This window comes from Homo sapiens, chromosome 4 (assembly GCF_000001405.40).
Source record: "Homo sapiens chromosome 4, GRCh38.p14 Primary Assembly".
In the NCBI taxonomy this organism is placed as follows: domain Eukaryota; kingdom Metazoa; phylum Chordata; class Mammalia; order Primates; family Hominidae; genus Homo; species Homo sapiens.
The window spans coordinates 67,929,843-67,946,322 of record NC_000004.12 but is presented as its reverse complement, the minus strand read 5'-3'; the positions used below and the strand labels follow the sequence as shown (position 1 = coordinate 67,946,322).

The following is a 16,480-nucleotide window of genomic DNA, read 5'->3' as shown; positions in this document are numbered from 1 at the left end:
AACTGTTTCAGTCATTTCATCAACAAACAAGTACTAAATTCTTATTATATGTGAGTACTTTTCTGGATATTCAAGATACAGCTTTAAGCAAAGTAGACAGATTTCTAATTTCCTTAGAGCTCTCAACCCAGAATTCTTTTGAGAATCTACACAAAAAGATCAAAAATTGTAATTGTCTGAAACTTACTAGTAATTATAATAAACAACTCATCACTTATTATATATTAAAATGAAAAGTTATGATAAATTAGTTATTAAAATTGGCTCTTTTACTCATGAACCATCATTTTCTGTCCAACATTTCTAAGGCAAAAGAAAAACACTTGTCTAATAAAATAAGGAATTTCAAAATGATTGAAAACCTATACGTATGACACAATATTATCATTTATTTTTAGAGAAAAAAAATTTTACTCTTTCCAAAACAATATTCAGGGATTATATTTTTATCAACTAATATATTTGTAATTACACAAATAATGCACTTCAAGATTCTCTTTTTACATTCAGTCTCTTTCTGGGGAGAATGCAAGCCATTTACATTTTTTCACAAATCTCTACAATGTGACTCTCACATGGATGTATGTGATAAAACAAATAACTCAGGCTGCTCACTTTAACGCTCTTATCTGCTGTCACCTTCACAGAGTCAATGGGGGAGCAAAGACTCTACTTGGAGCCTTAAAGGGCTTAAGATCATAGTCCTAGGCCTTATATGATAACCCCAGCTGTAGTTTATACCATTGGCAAAAGATTCTCAGGTCACTTTATTTGGTTGCATAAAAGTCTCTTTACAATGAGAGTAAGGTTTGTTAACAGTATGGATTATATGGGTAAGTAATCAGGATGTCCAAAAATGTATTACAAGGTCCAGAGATTTCCCACTTAAGACATATGCCTTCCTGATATCCCTGTTTCTTTCCTTGGTTTGTAGTCTCGAAACCCACTCCCTCTTCCCTGAGCCAGGCTTCTCAAGGATTGAGGTTGTTTTGTATTTTTCCCATTCTCTATCTTTAACTCTGTATCTTTCTTACTCCCTCTGGGCCTTACTCCTCAGATTACCAAATTCCTTAGGAGTCTCAACTGCTTTCCTTTCTTACATTTCCTAATAGATTTATCCCTGTTTCATGCTCGTCTTGTCTTCAATCTCAGACAGCTCTTCTCTACACTTTCTTTTCAGGTTTTTCTTAGTGTGCCTGGCTCTCTTGTTAAAAATCAAAATTCACAAGGACATTCACTTATCTCTACTTCCACTAGAGTGTATGATGGTACACATTTCAACTCAGCAAGGAGCAATGTAGCAATGAAATGTTCAAGCTCTACAGCTAGACTGGATTTAAAACTTGGACAGGCCACCTACTAGTTACAGAACAATTTACTTAATGCCTCTGTGCCTTAATTTCCTTATCTGTAAAATGAAGGTGATACCAATCTTAGAGAGCTGGTGTGGGGATTAAATGGGCTAATACATAAAAAGTGCACAGGACAGTGCCTGCCATATTGTAGAAACTCAATAAATGGCAGCTATTATAATTGATATAAAACATTAACTGTTATTTTTTAAATAAAACTCAATTATGAAGAGGCTCAGGGACATATTCAAGATTTATATTGGCCCCATTGTAATTGAGTTCTGAAATCTTTGTCCAAACCATTTAGTTTCCTATTTTTCATTTCCATTGCAGACCAAAAAAAGGAGTACTATCATGGCTCCTTTAAAATTTTAGATCCACAAATCAATAACAATTTCGGACAAAGCAACACATATCAACTTAAGGACTTACGAGAGACGACCGAAAATTTGGTGAGTCAGGTAAACTTCTTTTTATCATAGAATAATGCAAGTGGAAGGGATTTTGTGGATCATTTCTCCATTTCTAAAAACATGATTTTCAGACCGCCAACATTAGAATCATCTTGCAGATTGCTAGGCCCCATCCCAGACCTGCTTAATCAGAGTATGATGAGATGGGTAGGTGGGGAGAGGAGAGTAAGGGAATCTGCATGTCTAACAAATGGGTGATTCTAATAAGCCTCTCTTTCTAACTCAGCTACCTTATTTAAAGGTAAGAGAATTGAGGCCAAGATATCCTAGCCCATTTCTTCCCCAATTCCACCACGTTTCCCCTGTAGAAAAGCCTAATCATATCAAAACTAGTTTTTATAAGTCCACACACTTGTTTGTAAGACCACATTTTAAGATTTTGAGTATTTTCAGAATTTACGTTCATCTTGTAAGTATATTGATAAAGACAAAAAACCAGACTTATTTTGTAGTAATCAAGTCAAATGCTAATAATTTTGTTAAAGCTAAAGTGCAAGACTGCTCCCAAAAAGAAAAAAAGCACACTCAGTTGTATAATCATTCCACTCAGAATGCCCATGAATTCTCACTCAAAAACTAGGTTCAAATTAATTTTTCTAACAAGGAAGCACAGAAGCAGAGACTTATTTTAAAAAGAAAGAAATGACAAATGTATTGGTTTGTTTTAATCAAAGAACCATTTTTAAGACACTTTCTTTCCCAAATCATCTACCATTTTTTCCTGTCATCATTTGCTCTTTGTCCATAGTATACCTAATGGCATCATATTTACAATAATATTGTAGAGTTTATAATCTCTATTTTCAGTTAACATTAAATCATTCACAATTTCTTAATTTTGTGGTTTCATCTTTCCCAACCAATAATTAATGTCTACAGATTGATATAGATTCTGCATTCTTTCACATGCAGAGCATCTTATAAAAGAGCATTTGCAATCAGTTCTTAAGTTATGCTAGGATGAACGGGGAGCCTGCACCAATACACCCAAATACCTTCTCTACTCCTCCAGTCCTAAGTGACTCCACATAACCTCCTCGATGCAAAAAGAGAAAACTCTTAACTTGCCTTAGTTAAAAAGATAAACACACCTTTGAATGATGGAAAATGTTACAATTTACTGGGAAATTTTGAAATTTGTTTCATTTATATTTTATGGCCAACATTACTGCTACTGTTGTTGTTGTAAGTTAACTAAGCAATTCTGTCTTTACTGAAGTAAACGGAGAAGAATGCAATAGGTCTTAAGAGAAGTGAGAGAAATGCGGAGGTGCATGTTGAACAGAAACTCTATTTAAAAGTGGAGTTTTAAGTTTCACCTAAGCATGTGTTCCTTCAAAGGCTAAGGCTAAGTTAAGTAAGGACACATTATCATCATGGGTACCTGCAAGGCCCTTCTCTGGTTGTCATTATTTATTTATCCTCCTTTATCACCATAGCATAAGCCCTTACCCTCCCCCCTTGCAGGAAATCATTCTATGTTTCATGTGGTATTCTTTTGTTTGTATTCATTCTTACAAAAATATGTTTTGCTATTTTGCGTACACTTGCTTTTAACTTACATTTTGTGTTATAAATCACTTTTGTTTCATCTCTTTTTACTGAGAACTTTTTAAAAGATATATGTTACTAAATATACCTTTAGTTTATTGCTGTTAGCTGCTAATTCATAGTGTGTATCTTCCATATTTACCTGCCTGTCATGCCAAGAAATGCCACACTAAACAGACTCCTACTTACCCCCTTATAGACCTATGCAAGTACTTCTGCAAGCAGAATTACTAGGTCATTGAATGTACATATACTTAACTTGACCAATTGGTGCAGGTTTGCTCTTCAAAATGGCTGACTCAGTGTGCACGCCCATCTACAATGCATGAGGATTTCTATGTCCCCACATCTAACCAACACTTAGTGTCTTAGTATGTTTAGGCTACTACAACAAAAAGTACCATAGGCTGGGTATCTTAAACAACAAACAATTATTTCTCATAGTTCTGGAGGCTGAAGATTCCAAGATGAAGATGATCAAGGCTCTAGCAGATGTCTGGTGAGAGCCTGCTTCCTGGTTCATAGAATACCATCTTGCTGTGTCCCTCATGGCAGAAGCCATAAGAGAACTTTCTTTTGTAAGGACACTAATGACTTTCATGAGAACTCCACCCTCATGACCTAACTATCCTCCAAAGGCCCCATCTCCTCTATCATCGGTTTGGGAGTTAAGGTCTCAAAATATAAATTTCAGGGGAACACAAACATTCAGTCCACAGCACTTGGTATTATTTGGCTTTCTAAATTTGCCACCCTAATATGTATAAAGTAGTATTTTATTTGTGATTTAATTTGCATGTTTCTAATTACTAATGAGTTTGTGCATTGTTACGTATAATTATTAACTTTTTGGACTTTCATTTCTATAAATTGCCTGTACATATTATTTGCCTATTTTTCTGTTAAACTTGCTTTTTCACCTTATTTGTATTGCTTTGCAGAAGTTCTTTACATTTTCTGGATATTGATAGTGTGTTGGTTGTGGACACTGCGCTTATCCATTCTGTCTTCTACTAATATGGACCGTGTTGTTCTTTATGAAACCGAAATCTGTAACTGAAGTAATCATTTTTTCACTGTTTTGCCTTATGATTGTATTTTGAAGCTTTTCTTTAAGAAGTCCTTCTTCCCTTCTAAGACATAAAAATATTTTACTATGTTACTTATTAACCTTATAGTTTTATCTTTTACATTAGGTCTCCAATACATGTGGAATCCACCTTTGGATGTGTTAGGTAGATTCAGTTTTTTAATTCATATAGTGAGCCAGTTTTTGAATATAACTAGTTAAAATATCTTGGCTTTTCCTAATATATGGTATTATTATTGAGTTCATTGCATGCATTTCTTGGCACCTGGGTCTTGCAGAAAAGGAAACATGAATCTGTCTCCTCAAATTGCTTCCAATCTTTTTGGAAAGATGTGAGTAACACACATGGAATTGAATATCATGACATGATATAATTAAGGGCTAAATTACATGTTGAGGACAGTAAGTACAGAAAAACTTCAAAACCAAACAAGGGTTCCCATGGTCAGAAAAGGCTTTATATTATTTTACCTTTGTTTAAATGAGACAGGTGTTTTTCTCCTCCCATCCCGCACCAGGTTAGCTTTAGAAGAATTACAGGAAGAGTTTATGCCTCATCCTGAGCCACACCTGTTTGTTGTTGCTAAATCCCAATGAATACAACCAGATTCTTCTCTCTGTCCTATATGGGTGCTAATTAGACAACCAAGGAAGACAGGTTGCACGTCCTGTTCTTCCTCACATTGGGCTTTACTGATTTGAATGCAAATTGAGATGCAAAAGTAAAATGAGTTCATATTTAGATATTGCTATAATCCGCCCCTGTTCCCTGAGATAGTGGAGCAGACATATCTCATCTCTCATATCATTCTTCAGAGAAGGGTCCATTAATCAGACATTACTGATGTCTGATTACTGCCGGCTGGCCATCCTGCAGGTGGAGAAGCATGGCATCCAGCAGAAACTGACAGCATGCACTTTGAGGGAGGGAAGGATAAGCCAGGAATTTATGCTGAATAAGCTGCCTAAGTATACATGTTCAATAAGTTCTAGGGGAAGTCACAAATACTTATGAAAGGAGAAACATAACTATGTGCAATTGAGCTTTATGTCTCTTCATGTGTTGCATGTTCAAAAAATGGTGGCATTAGCATGATCCAAGGGTGGAGTTTTCAGCCATTTGATGTTCAAAGGTGAAGCAGAGGACACAAAACCCTTACTATGCATCCTCTGTGAGTCAGCCAAAACCAGTCTGGACTGCTAGCTAGATTAACAAAGAAAAAAAGAGAAAGAAGATACAAATAAGCACGATCAGAAATGATAGAGGTAACATTACAACCAATCCCACAGAAATACAAAAGATCGTCTGAGACTCTTATGAACACTTCTATGTAGATAAACTAGAAAATCTAGAGGAAATGGGTAAATTCCTGGAAAAACACAATCTTCCAAGATTGAATCAGAAAGAAATTGAAACCCTGAACAGACCAATATTGAGTTCATACTTAAATCAGTAATTTAAAAAACTTACCAGCCAAAAGGAAAAAAAAAGGCCCAAACTAGATGGATTCACAGCCAAATTCTACCAGACGTACAAGAAATAGCTAGGACCAATTCTAGTGAAACTATTCCAAAGAATTGAGAAGAGACTTCTTCCTAAATCATTCTATGAAGTCAGCATTACCCTAACGCCAAAACCTCACAAAGACAGAATGAAAAAAGAAAATTACAGGCCAATATCCCTGATGAACATAGATATAAAAATCCTCAACCAAATACCAGCAAACCAAATCCAGCAGCACATCAAAAAGTTAATTTTCCAAAATCAAGTAGGCTTTATTTCTGTGATGCAAGACTGGTTCAACATATGTAAATCAATAAATGCGATTTACCACATAAACCGAATTAAAAACAAAAATCATACAATTAGCCAGGCATGGTGGCTCACACTTGTAATCCCAGCACTTTGGGAGACCATGGTGGGCAAATTACCTGAGGTCAGAAGTTCGAGACCAACCTGGCCAACATGGTGAAACCCCATCTGTATTAAAAATACGAAAATTAGCCGGGCATGGTGGCAGGTGCCTGTAATCCCAGCTACTCGGAGGGCTGAGGCAGGAGAATCACTTGAACCCAGGAGGCAGAGGTTGCAGTGAGCCGAGATCGTGCCATTGCACTCCAGCCTGGGTGACAGAGCAAAAATCCATCTCAAAAAAATTAAAAATTTAAGAAAATTAAAATCATACAATCATCTCAATATATGTAGAAAAAGCTTTTGATAAAATTAAACATCCCTTCATAATAAAAACACTTAGACTAGGCATCGAAGAAACATACTTCAAAATAATAAGAGCCATCTGTGACAAACCCACAGCCATCATCACACTGAATGGGCAAAAGCTGGAGGCACTATCCTTAAGAACAGGAAAAAGACAAGAATGTTCACTCTCACTACTCCTATTCAACATAGTACTAGAAGTTCTAGAAAGAGCAATCGAGCAGGAGAAAGAAGGAAAATGCATCCAAATACGAAAAGAGGAAGTCAAATTATCTCTCTTTACTGACAATATGATTATATGCCTAGAAAACCCTAAAGACTTTACAAAAAGTTTCCAAAACTGATAAACAACTTCAGTAAAGTTTCAGGATACAAAATCAATGTACAAAATTCAGTAGCATTTCTAAACAATAATGTCCAAGCTGAGAACCAAATCAAGAACACAATCCCATTTTCAATAGCGACACACACACACAAATGAAATACCTAGGAATACATCTAACCAAGGAGGTAAAAGATCTCTATAAGGAGAATAAAAAAACACTATTGAAAGAAATCGGAGATGACACAAATGAATGCAAAAACATTCCATGCTCATGGATTGGAAGAATCAATATTGTTAAAATGTCCCTACTGCCCAGAGCAATCTACAGATTCAATGCTATTCCTATCAAACTACCAACATAATTTTCCACACAAAGTTAGAAAAAGCTTTTGTAAATTTCATATGGTACAAAAAAAAAAAGCCCCAATAGCCAAAGGACTCCTAATAAAAAAGAACAGAGCCAGAGGCCTCACATTATCTGACTTCAAACTATACTTTAAGGCTACAGTAATCAAAACAGAATGGCATTGGTACAAAAACAGACATATAAACCAATAGAACAGAATAGAGAACCCAGAAATAAAGCCACACATCTACAGCCATCAGATATTCAATAAAATTAACAAAAATAAGCAATGGGGAGAGAACTTTCTATTCAATAAATGGTGCTGGAATAGCTAGCTAGTCAGAAGCAGAAAAATGAAATTGGACTCCTATCACTAAATACAAAAACTAACTCAAGATGCAGTAAAGAATTAAATGTAAGACCACAAACAATTAATACAAGAACCCTAGAAGAAAACCTAGGAAATACTGTTGTAGACATCAGTCTTGGCACAGAATTTAGGACTAAGTCCTCAAAAGCAACTGCAACAAAAACAAAAATTGATAAGTTGGACCTAATTAAACTAAAGAACTTCTGCACAATAAAAGAAACTATCAACAGAGTAAACAAACAACCTACAGACTGGGAGAAAATATTTGCAAACTATGCATCTGAAAAGGTCTAATGTCCAGAATCTGTAAAGAACTTAAACAACTCAACAAGCAAAAGAAACCAAGTAACGCCATTAAAAAGTAGGCAAAGAACATGAACAGATGCTTCACAAAAGAAGACATACAACGCAGTCAAGAAACATATGAACAAATGCTCCACATCACTAATTATCCAAGTAATGCAAATCAAAACTACAGTGAGATAATATCTCATACCAGTTACAATGGCTATTATTAAAGATTAAAAAAATAACATGCTGATGAGACTGCGGAGGAAAGAGAATGCTTAAATACTGTTGGAAACGTAAATGGGTTCAGCCACTGTGGAAAGCAGTTTGGAGACTTCTCAAAGTACTTAAAATGGAACTACTATTCAACCTAGCAATCCTCTTACTGGGTGTATACCCAAAGGAGTATAAACTTTTTTCCCAGAAAGACAGCTGCACTCTCACATTAATTACCACAGTATTCACAATAGCAAAGATGTGGAATCAACCTAGATATCCATCAATGGTGGATTGGACAAAGAAACTGTGAGATATATATGTATATATATCTATATATACCATGGAATACTATGTAGCCATAAAAAAGGATGAAATCATGTCCTTTGCAGCAACATGGATGTAACACCACAAGGAAGGCACTTTTATCTCCTCTTTACAGGTAAGAGAACCAAGCTTCTGAAATTAAGGTCCATAGCTGGAAAATGATGGAGGGGAGATTTGAAGTCATCTAGGCAACTCCACACATGTGCTCTTTCCACTAAATTGTTCTACTGTCAGGAAGGGACTCAGCTAAGACAGAAGATAAAATTATTAAAATCTAAATCAATTCTTCTCTCATTTCATTTTTTAAATCCATGAAGATTATAAATCCTCTATGCTGTGCTAGCTAACTTTTTCTTGACAGATACATTAGGTATACTTATTAGAGAAAAATATTCTCTTTCTCATTTCCCTGTATCAGTTTTTGGTGAGGAAGGCAAAGGTAGGAGGAACTGTAATAGAGAAAGATGAAGGAAGCTGATGGATATATTGACATGTGTATGTACATCTAGTGTGAACAATCTATAGTTGGAAGAAAGGTGTGGATGGGTATGCTTTTTGAGGGAAGTTTTTGAGAAAAGAAGTAATATGAACTATTTCTAAATTTCCTGATAAAGTTGTAAATACAGCATAGTCTTCACAGGAGAATCTATTTAGTTTATCATCATCATTCAGCAAATACAGCATGATGTTAGGCACTACAAAAGGCTAAGAAAAATGATTCTCTCTCTCTCATAAACTAATCCAATTTAGAGATTTAGAAGACAACAAATCTGGAGAGGACATGAACCTTCTAAATAATGACCTTCCCTTGCTTTGGGTATCCTGGTTTTAAATATTTTTAGTACAGCTTTAAATAGATCCAAATGAGATATTTTCCTCTTTTACAAAAGCAATTCAAAGATCTAGGTTTTTGTTGTACACTGAGAATTAATACTTTTTTCTTTAAAATCCTTAATTGCAAATCTTTAAATTCTATAAATATTTTGCCTTGTGATCTCAGAAATATAAGCCAATTTGGGATATGGATATCTAATATATTGCTACTTGTTACACGTGAGTAGTGACAGATGTCTGTCCATTTCTTTCTGACATTCCACAAAGAAACACTGAAGAAGGACCAGTGCAATCAAAGAAATGACTGATGGCATCACAAAATATCACATCCCATTTGATGATCTGATTACCTTTTTGTTTAGGGTGATCAGAAAGTCACAGTTTCATGGCACCCTCCACACCCACACACCTTGTATGACACTGGATCCAACTGCTTTCTCCAATAGACACAGCACTTAAAGATGTGGCAGTTAGGCTTGACCCCAAGAAGGCCAAAAAGCCTTCTGTGAGCATCACTCAGTGCTCAGGTTGACTAAGCTCTATCCAGGCTTGAGAGAATGGTTCATAGCTGACTTCTTGGATCCAAAAAAAAAAAAAACACCTAGAGTTTTATACAGATATGATACGAACTTAAAAGGACTGCACTAAAAACTACCAAGATTATGATTCTTATTTTTGGAGAGTAAAGAAAATAGGCTGCCTTTGGAGAGGGGTGCAACAGTTTCTGATCCTCTTACAAACTGCTTGCTGCCCATCAGTGGGTAGGAGGTCTTAGTGAGAACCTACCTGCATGCTCATCCTGAGGTAGGCACTGTGAAGGCGTTAACAGGCTCTGAAGCTACATGGCCCTGGTTTCAGTGAACTCTGTGGTGTCAACTTGGGCAAGTCACTTCCTCTTCTATGAAACGTGAATAATCATAGTACTCACCTTAGAGGGCTGATTTGAAAGCAAATGAGCTCAAACACAATGACATCTGTGCTTGGTGCATATATGGCAGACAACAGTGATTCCCACTATTATAATTATTACAGTCTTACCAAGGAGGAGCTTTCCACAAATAATCAATTACCTAAAATGTCCAAAAACAGGAAAAAAAAATCTCTTCCGATAATTCATGTGTAATTTTCTTTTTTCTCTAGGAGCATTGATCTCAACCTGATGTAAAGCAAGCACTTTAAAAAGTCTTATAAAATTTTCCTGGTAAATGCAAAACTTTCTGATAAATAAATTCTCACCTTTTTATCAATTTGTTAATTCAACAAAAATATACTACATACCAACAGCATGCAAAGCACTATGTTAGATTTTATAGACTATGAAAAGATAAATTGCCATCTCTATGCATAAAGGGTTTGCCGTTTAATAAAAGAGACTATATATTTGCATAAATATATAGTGAATATATTGCATAAATATATAATATATGTTTACATTAAAGAATAAAAGGTATAAGAGGGATAAGAAAAATTGAGACAGAGGGAAGACAGGTCAGTTTGAGATTAACGAATATCCCCAAAGAAGGTATTATCTGAGATTGGCCTTGAAGGATAGTTGTGATTCAGGAACACAGAACTTGCAGAATGAGAAGGTTGTTACAGACCAAAGGAACAGCCTGAGAGGCGTGAGTATGCAGGAAAATGAGGGCCATGCCTGAAAGTACTGGTGGTGTTGAAGATGGAGCCAGGCAAGTTGGTCACAGAGGGAGAGGACCTTGAATGTCTAACATTGTGGACAGAGGCTCAAAGGCTCAAATTCCCTATTTTTACCTTGAGTTCAATCCTTGTGGCAATGAAACCTCAGTGAAGCTTTATTTAAGGCTAAAAGTGTCTTTTAAAAATCCCTCTTATATAATATCCTTTGCATGTTACTCTTGTTGTAATTAGGAGAAAGCAATAGGATCTAAAGTTTTTTTTCACAGCATGGTTTTGGTTTCTTTAATTCTAAGGAGCTCACCTGGTGTTACGTTGGAAAAAACAGCTTTTATATCTCATTTATATTCCATATGCCAGTCTGCAGTGACATATCTATCTGAGGTTTACAGTGTTAGCCACAAAACACTCCCTAAGTGAATACATTGACTGCTGTAAGGGGAGCCAGTCAGGAAGCACCTGCAGAGAAAAGCAGGCAACATGTATAAACAGAGTTAATTCAGGAATGAAAGCTGAATGGCTGGGCGAGTCTGTTTGTTTGAGTTGACAGCCTCTCCCTCACTCTTTCATTAAATATCCAACTAACCTTCAATTGCCCTCTTGGAACTTAATCTCAGTGTAATTTCCAGCATGTCAAAATTATCAAGCAGAAAGAGATACTACCCTGAAAGAGGGTCTTTTGTTCAATGCTAGGAGACAAACTCCAACTACAAAATTCTAGAAATGCCCTAAAGAGAGAGATAGGATAGATTTACAAATTGCTAATGCTATTAGGTTGTATAGATAACAATAGATTTATAACAACCTGGCACACAACTTTAAATATATAAGTTTCTCTGAAACTTCTGGGAACTTGGAATGCCAGAACGTTGGCAAAAAGAATGCTTCTAATAATGAAAGCCATCATCTGCCATGGAAACAATTTCAGGGTCTTTAGAAAGCTAGTTTATACATAAGCTCCATTCTACAATAAAACTTATGTTCATGTTTTTTCTGATTTTCCTCCTGCTGTAAATTCATTTTATCAGAATTCTTTTTACCAGTCCCTCTGCCCCATTTCTCAAAGCGTTGTCCTCAGACTACCTGTATCACCTAAAGATTCTAAGGCCTCCTCCGATGTAGTAAATGAGACTTTTCTAGAGAGAGAGTCCTAGAATTTTATAAAGAAGGATCCTTTTTATTATTGTGATCACCAAAGTTACTTCTGCCTAGATTCTTCTCATGTTATTTTTACAGCTCCTATCTTCCCAGACAACCTAACAATTCAAAGATAAAATTGGTGCTTGGTTTAGACATTCATAGCAGGCACGGTGCCAGATTGATGATGTCATCCAGAGTCAAAAACTTCATCCAATGCCTTCACCAAAAAGTTACAAATGGCCAGGAATCAAATGTGGTTGAACTTATTCAGAGGGTAATTACAAAACAAACTTCTTTAAATACCCAACTGCTATTTGCTTTTTTCCTTCTAAATTGTATCACTTCTCTCCCTGTTCCATTTTGTTTGCCTTTTTATTTTTTGGAATCCCTCACCTCCATACTGAGTAGTAGAGCTGGCTGTGGGTGATGAGAGAGAAATTGTTATAACAAAGTCACCCTTTCAAAAACATGTCTTCCAAAAGAATTTTGTTTCTAGCAGATGAACCCCACACCACCTCAGCTAAATGGGGCTTTCTTTATTTAAGTACCAATAAAGACATATTTTGGATACTAGCAATTTATTTTCCAAATGCTATCTTTGATCTTAAGTTTAAGGCTATTACCAAATCTATATCTCTACAAGTTTTATACTTTAGGTCAATAAATTACTTGATAACTTATTACTATGTGTTCTACAAAAGAAACCGAAGTAAAATTTACATCACATTTAACAGGGTGGTTGTGTGATTGAGTGGGAAGAGGCGGACCCTACAGATAGAAGACTTGGGTTTCAGTCCCAGCTTACTAGTATCTGCGTGATGCCAGGGAAATTCACATAATGCCTCTGAGTCACAGATTTCTAACAGGAATGAAGATACTTCTTCGCAGAATTGTCATTAGAGTTAAAGAAGATAACAAATAATGTGGTTCCTGATGAGGTATTTATGAATTCCTGAGCATGCTAAGGAAGTTATAACTTGTTTCTTGATCCCTGAAACAGCTTTCCCTATATTTGTGTGTGTGTGTGTGTGTGTGTGTTTCAGTCATGCAAGTTGGTTTTTCTTCTCATTCCTTGAGAATTTAGGATATTTTGTGCGCACATTTGGTTCTTCTGTCCAACATGAACTGTAGTACCTTACCCACATTGAGATGACACTATTTCTACCAAGTGAGTGCTAGGGGATACTGCAAGCCGAATGCCAGGTGTGAGAGACCACAGCATCACAATACCGTGGCAGTAGATTAAAGCTGTGCATATGGACTAAAAGCAGTGGCTTTGCTTCTCCTACCTTGGTGACATAAACTGAGTAACAAATTTGACCTAATACTGGAATACCACCTAATTCTTTTTTCCTCCCTGATTTACCCTAGAGTCCACAATTGACAATAATTTAAAAATTTTGGCTCTCTCTTAAATCCCTAATGCCTCCTCCTTACACCTTACAAGCAAAGACCTGCAGAGCTAAGACCTGTAATGCCAGGATGGAGGCTAGAGGACCATCAGCAATTAACTACCAAAACTTACCCAACATTTTATATCTGTTTAACCTTCATAGCCTTATGAGTAGCAGATCAATATCTTTGTTTTACAGGTTAGAAAACTGAGGCTCAAATTGATTCAGTAACTTTGCCAAGATTGCCCAGTTTGGGAAAAGTAGTATACGCTCAAATCCAGGACTGAGGCAGGGTTTTCTTTGTCACCACTCAAAGCCTCTCTGAATATCCTATCTCTGCTCTGTATCTCTCTGCTACTCCTTCTATGGTGTTTTAGCAAGATATCTTCTACTCCAGAAACCTACTCTAGCACAGTAGAATTACTTGGGTAGGTTTTTTAAAAATATGAGTGCCTAGGTCCCCTCTAGACCAATCGAAACCAAAATTCTTGGAGAGGATCCCTGGCATCCATAAATTTTTTTAATTCATCAAATGATTCTGTTGCACTGTGAAAGCTGAGATCCACCAATTTAAATAATGATGTTAGTTCTGTGAAAAAATTTTTGATTGCTTTAACATTTAATCAAGGATATATTCCTATTATAAAATATATTATTAACACATAGTTTCTCTCTTGTTGTGTAACAGGTGGATGAGATATTTATAGATTCAGCCTGGAAGAAAAATTATATCAAGAACCAAGTAGTCAGACTGACGTATGTATGTTTGGGCAAAGGTGGAATCACAAGACTGGAGGGAAAAGGAACAAAGGAGACAGGGACTCTCATGTATTGTATGTCTCCATGGACTAGGCTTTTGGCTAGAATTTTTCATAAACATTACCTTTAAAGCAGTCTTGAAGTATAGGGCTGACCACCGTTTTGTCAACAAAAAGACTAAGATTCAGGAAGGGTAAGAAATATGTTCAAAGTTCACCAACTGACAGTTTCCCAAAGTGACAGAACCAGGAATCAAACCCCATTAACTTATTGTGAGGCCTGGAACCTACCAGAACCCATGACGTGGGGAAAACCCAGCAGCTTGTCGTTGCATGCACCAAGTTATATTATGTTGACAATTATATTATTTCAACCACGTTAAGCAGGCAAACTTGGCTATAAAATGGGTTCACAAATTTTACCTGTAATGTAACCGAATGACATAAGGCATGCCTAAACAAAAAGATATTCCTGTTGTAATAAATTTTCTTTCTGTCATGGTGGAGGGGGAAGACTCATATCAGTTGCAGATATTGCTCAGAAGTTTCAATTGTGTTATTTTGAAAAACTACATAGCAGAACACGCATGTCATATACACAAATCCATGAGCCTGTATGACTCATATTTCTTAAAGATAAAGAAAAATAATATATTCAGATTTTGATTTATTTGAAGAAAATAATTATCCCTTTCTCACCAATAGACTAATAATGCTTTGTTGGCAGGTGTACTCAAAGTTCTCTATGTCTTGACTGAGTAACTAGTGACTTCCGTAAGGATTTTATAACATAAATTGGGTAATTCCTACAATACTTAGGAGGGAAAAAGCATATAAATGCTAGAACTTTCTAGATTTCATGTTTTCTGTTTTCAAATTCTCCTTTACCATATTATTGTAGCAACATTATTATACTCCTGTGAACTCCTTTGGATGGTAGCCATCACTATATAATACCTGGTAAAAATGTTAATTCCTCAGATTTAAGAAGTAAAATTAGTCATCTGTTTGCCAATTTGACATAAAATTCTAGTTATTTAGATCTTTATATTCCAGAGCCTAAATGAACAAAAATACATAAATTGTCTCAGAATTTCCTTTTAGCCAAAAGATTCAGGGAGATGGGCCTCTAGAGTTTTTCACAGTTTTTTTTTTTTTTGTAAAAAAAAAAAAAAAAAAAAAGGAGAGATAACAGATCAATATATATTAGTTTCAAGGTTTTTTGTTTTTTTTTTTAAACAAAAACCTGTAATTGCTTTTCCTATTTTAACAGTATTTAAAAGTTTAGTTCCTCAGGTAACAGAACTTGAACCTGTTTATATGATCAAAGTTCAAGAAATTGGGCATGTTTAATTTGGAGAAGACTCGGGGACCACAATATTGTTGTCTTCAAATATTTGGGCTAGAGGAGGAAATTATTTTATGTATGTTCCAACTGGTAGACCTAAGCCTTATGGAATGGGAGATATAGGGAGACATATTTCAACTCAAAATGATGAACTCTTAAAAGCAGAGCTGACCAAAGAGAAACAAGCCTCTTTAGAAAATTAAACTTACTATCTTTTTAATTACTGCACTGTCATTAGAGGGCCAATTGTCATGGACCCTGTAGAAGTGATTCAGGTATCAAATATACAATTGATTAGCCTAAGAAAACATGAAGGCTTCTTCTAACTCTCAGAGCTTGTAATTTTGATGATGATTTTTTATATCTGTCATTCCTAGCTGCTGTAACAATCCTTCAAATTAATGGGGGAAATGCACTGAAAACATAATGAAAGCTAGAAGAGGGAACATATGAAATGACCTTGGGTCAGAATGACATGAGAGGATCAGCACTTGACACTCTCAGCAACTGAGGGATCATTCAGGGGAGGAAGATACAGGTAAGACTGAAGGACAATTCCAGGTGTATTCTTTGAAAATGTACCTTTCTTTTGTGTGTCACAGTCCAGAGGAAGATGGTGTGAAAGTAGATGTCATTATGGTGTTCCAGTTCCCCTCTACTGAACAAAGGGCAGTAAGAGAGAAGAAAATCCAAAGCATCTTAAATCAGAAGATAAGGAATTTAAGAGCCTTGCCAATAAATGCCTCATCAGTTCAAGTTAATGGTAAGGAGGTCCCCTTCTATGTGATATGAAGTTGTCT

The 16,480-nt window shown here is 35.9% G+C and overlaps 1 protein-coding gene across 2 annotated transcripts in view; it reads left to right on the top strand.

Moving 5' to 3' along the window:
- TMPRSS11A (transmembrane serine protease 11A) overlaps window positions 1–16,480 on the top strand; it is a 54,099-nt gene that overhangs the window by 17,171 nt on the left and 20,448 nt on the right. The window contains exons 3-5 of one of the 2 annotated variants that reach the window (NM_001114387.2): window positions 1,686–1,804; window positions 14,263–14,330; window positions 16,283–16,443. In NM_001114387.2, the coding sequence (NP_001107859.1) occupies window positions 1,686–1,804; window positions 14,263–14,330; window positions 16,283–16,443 (348 nt within the window). Of the gene's footprint in view, window positions 1–1,685; window positions 1,814–14,262; window positions 14,331–16,282; window positions 16,444–16,480 lie in introns of both variants that reach the window. The other variant, NM_182606.4, reaches the window with a different exon arrangement.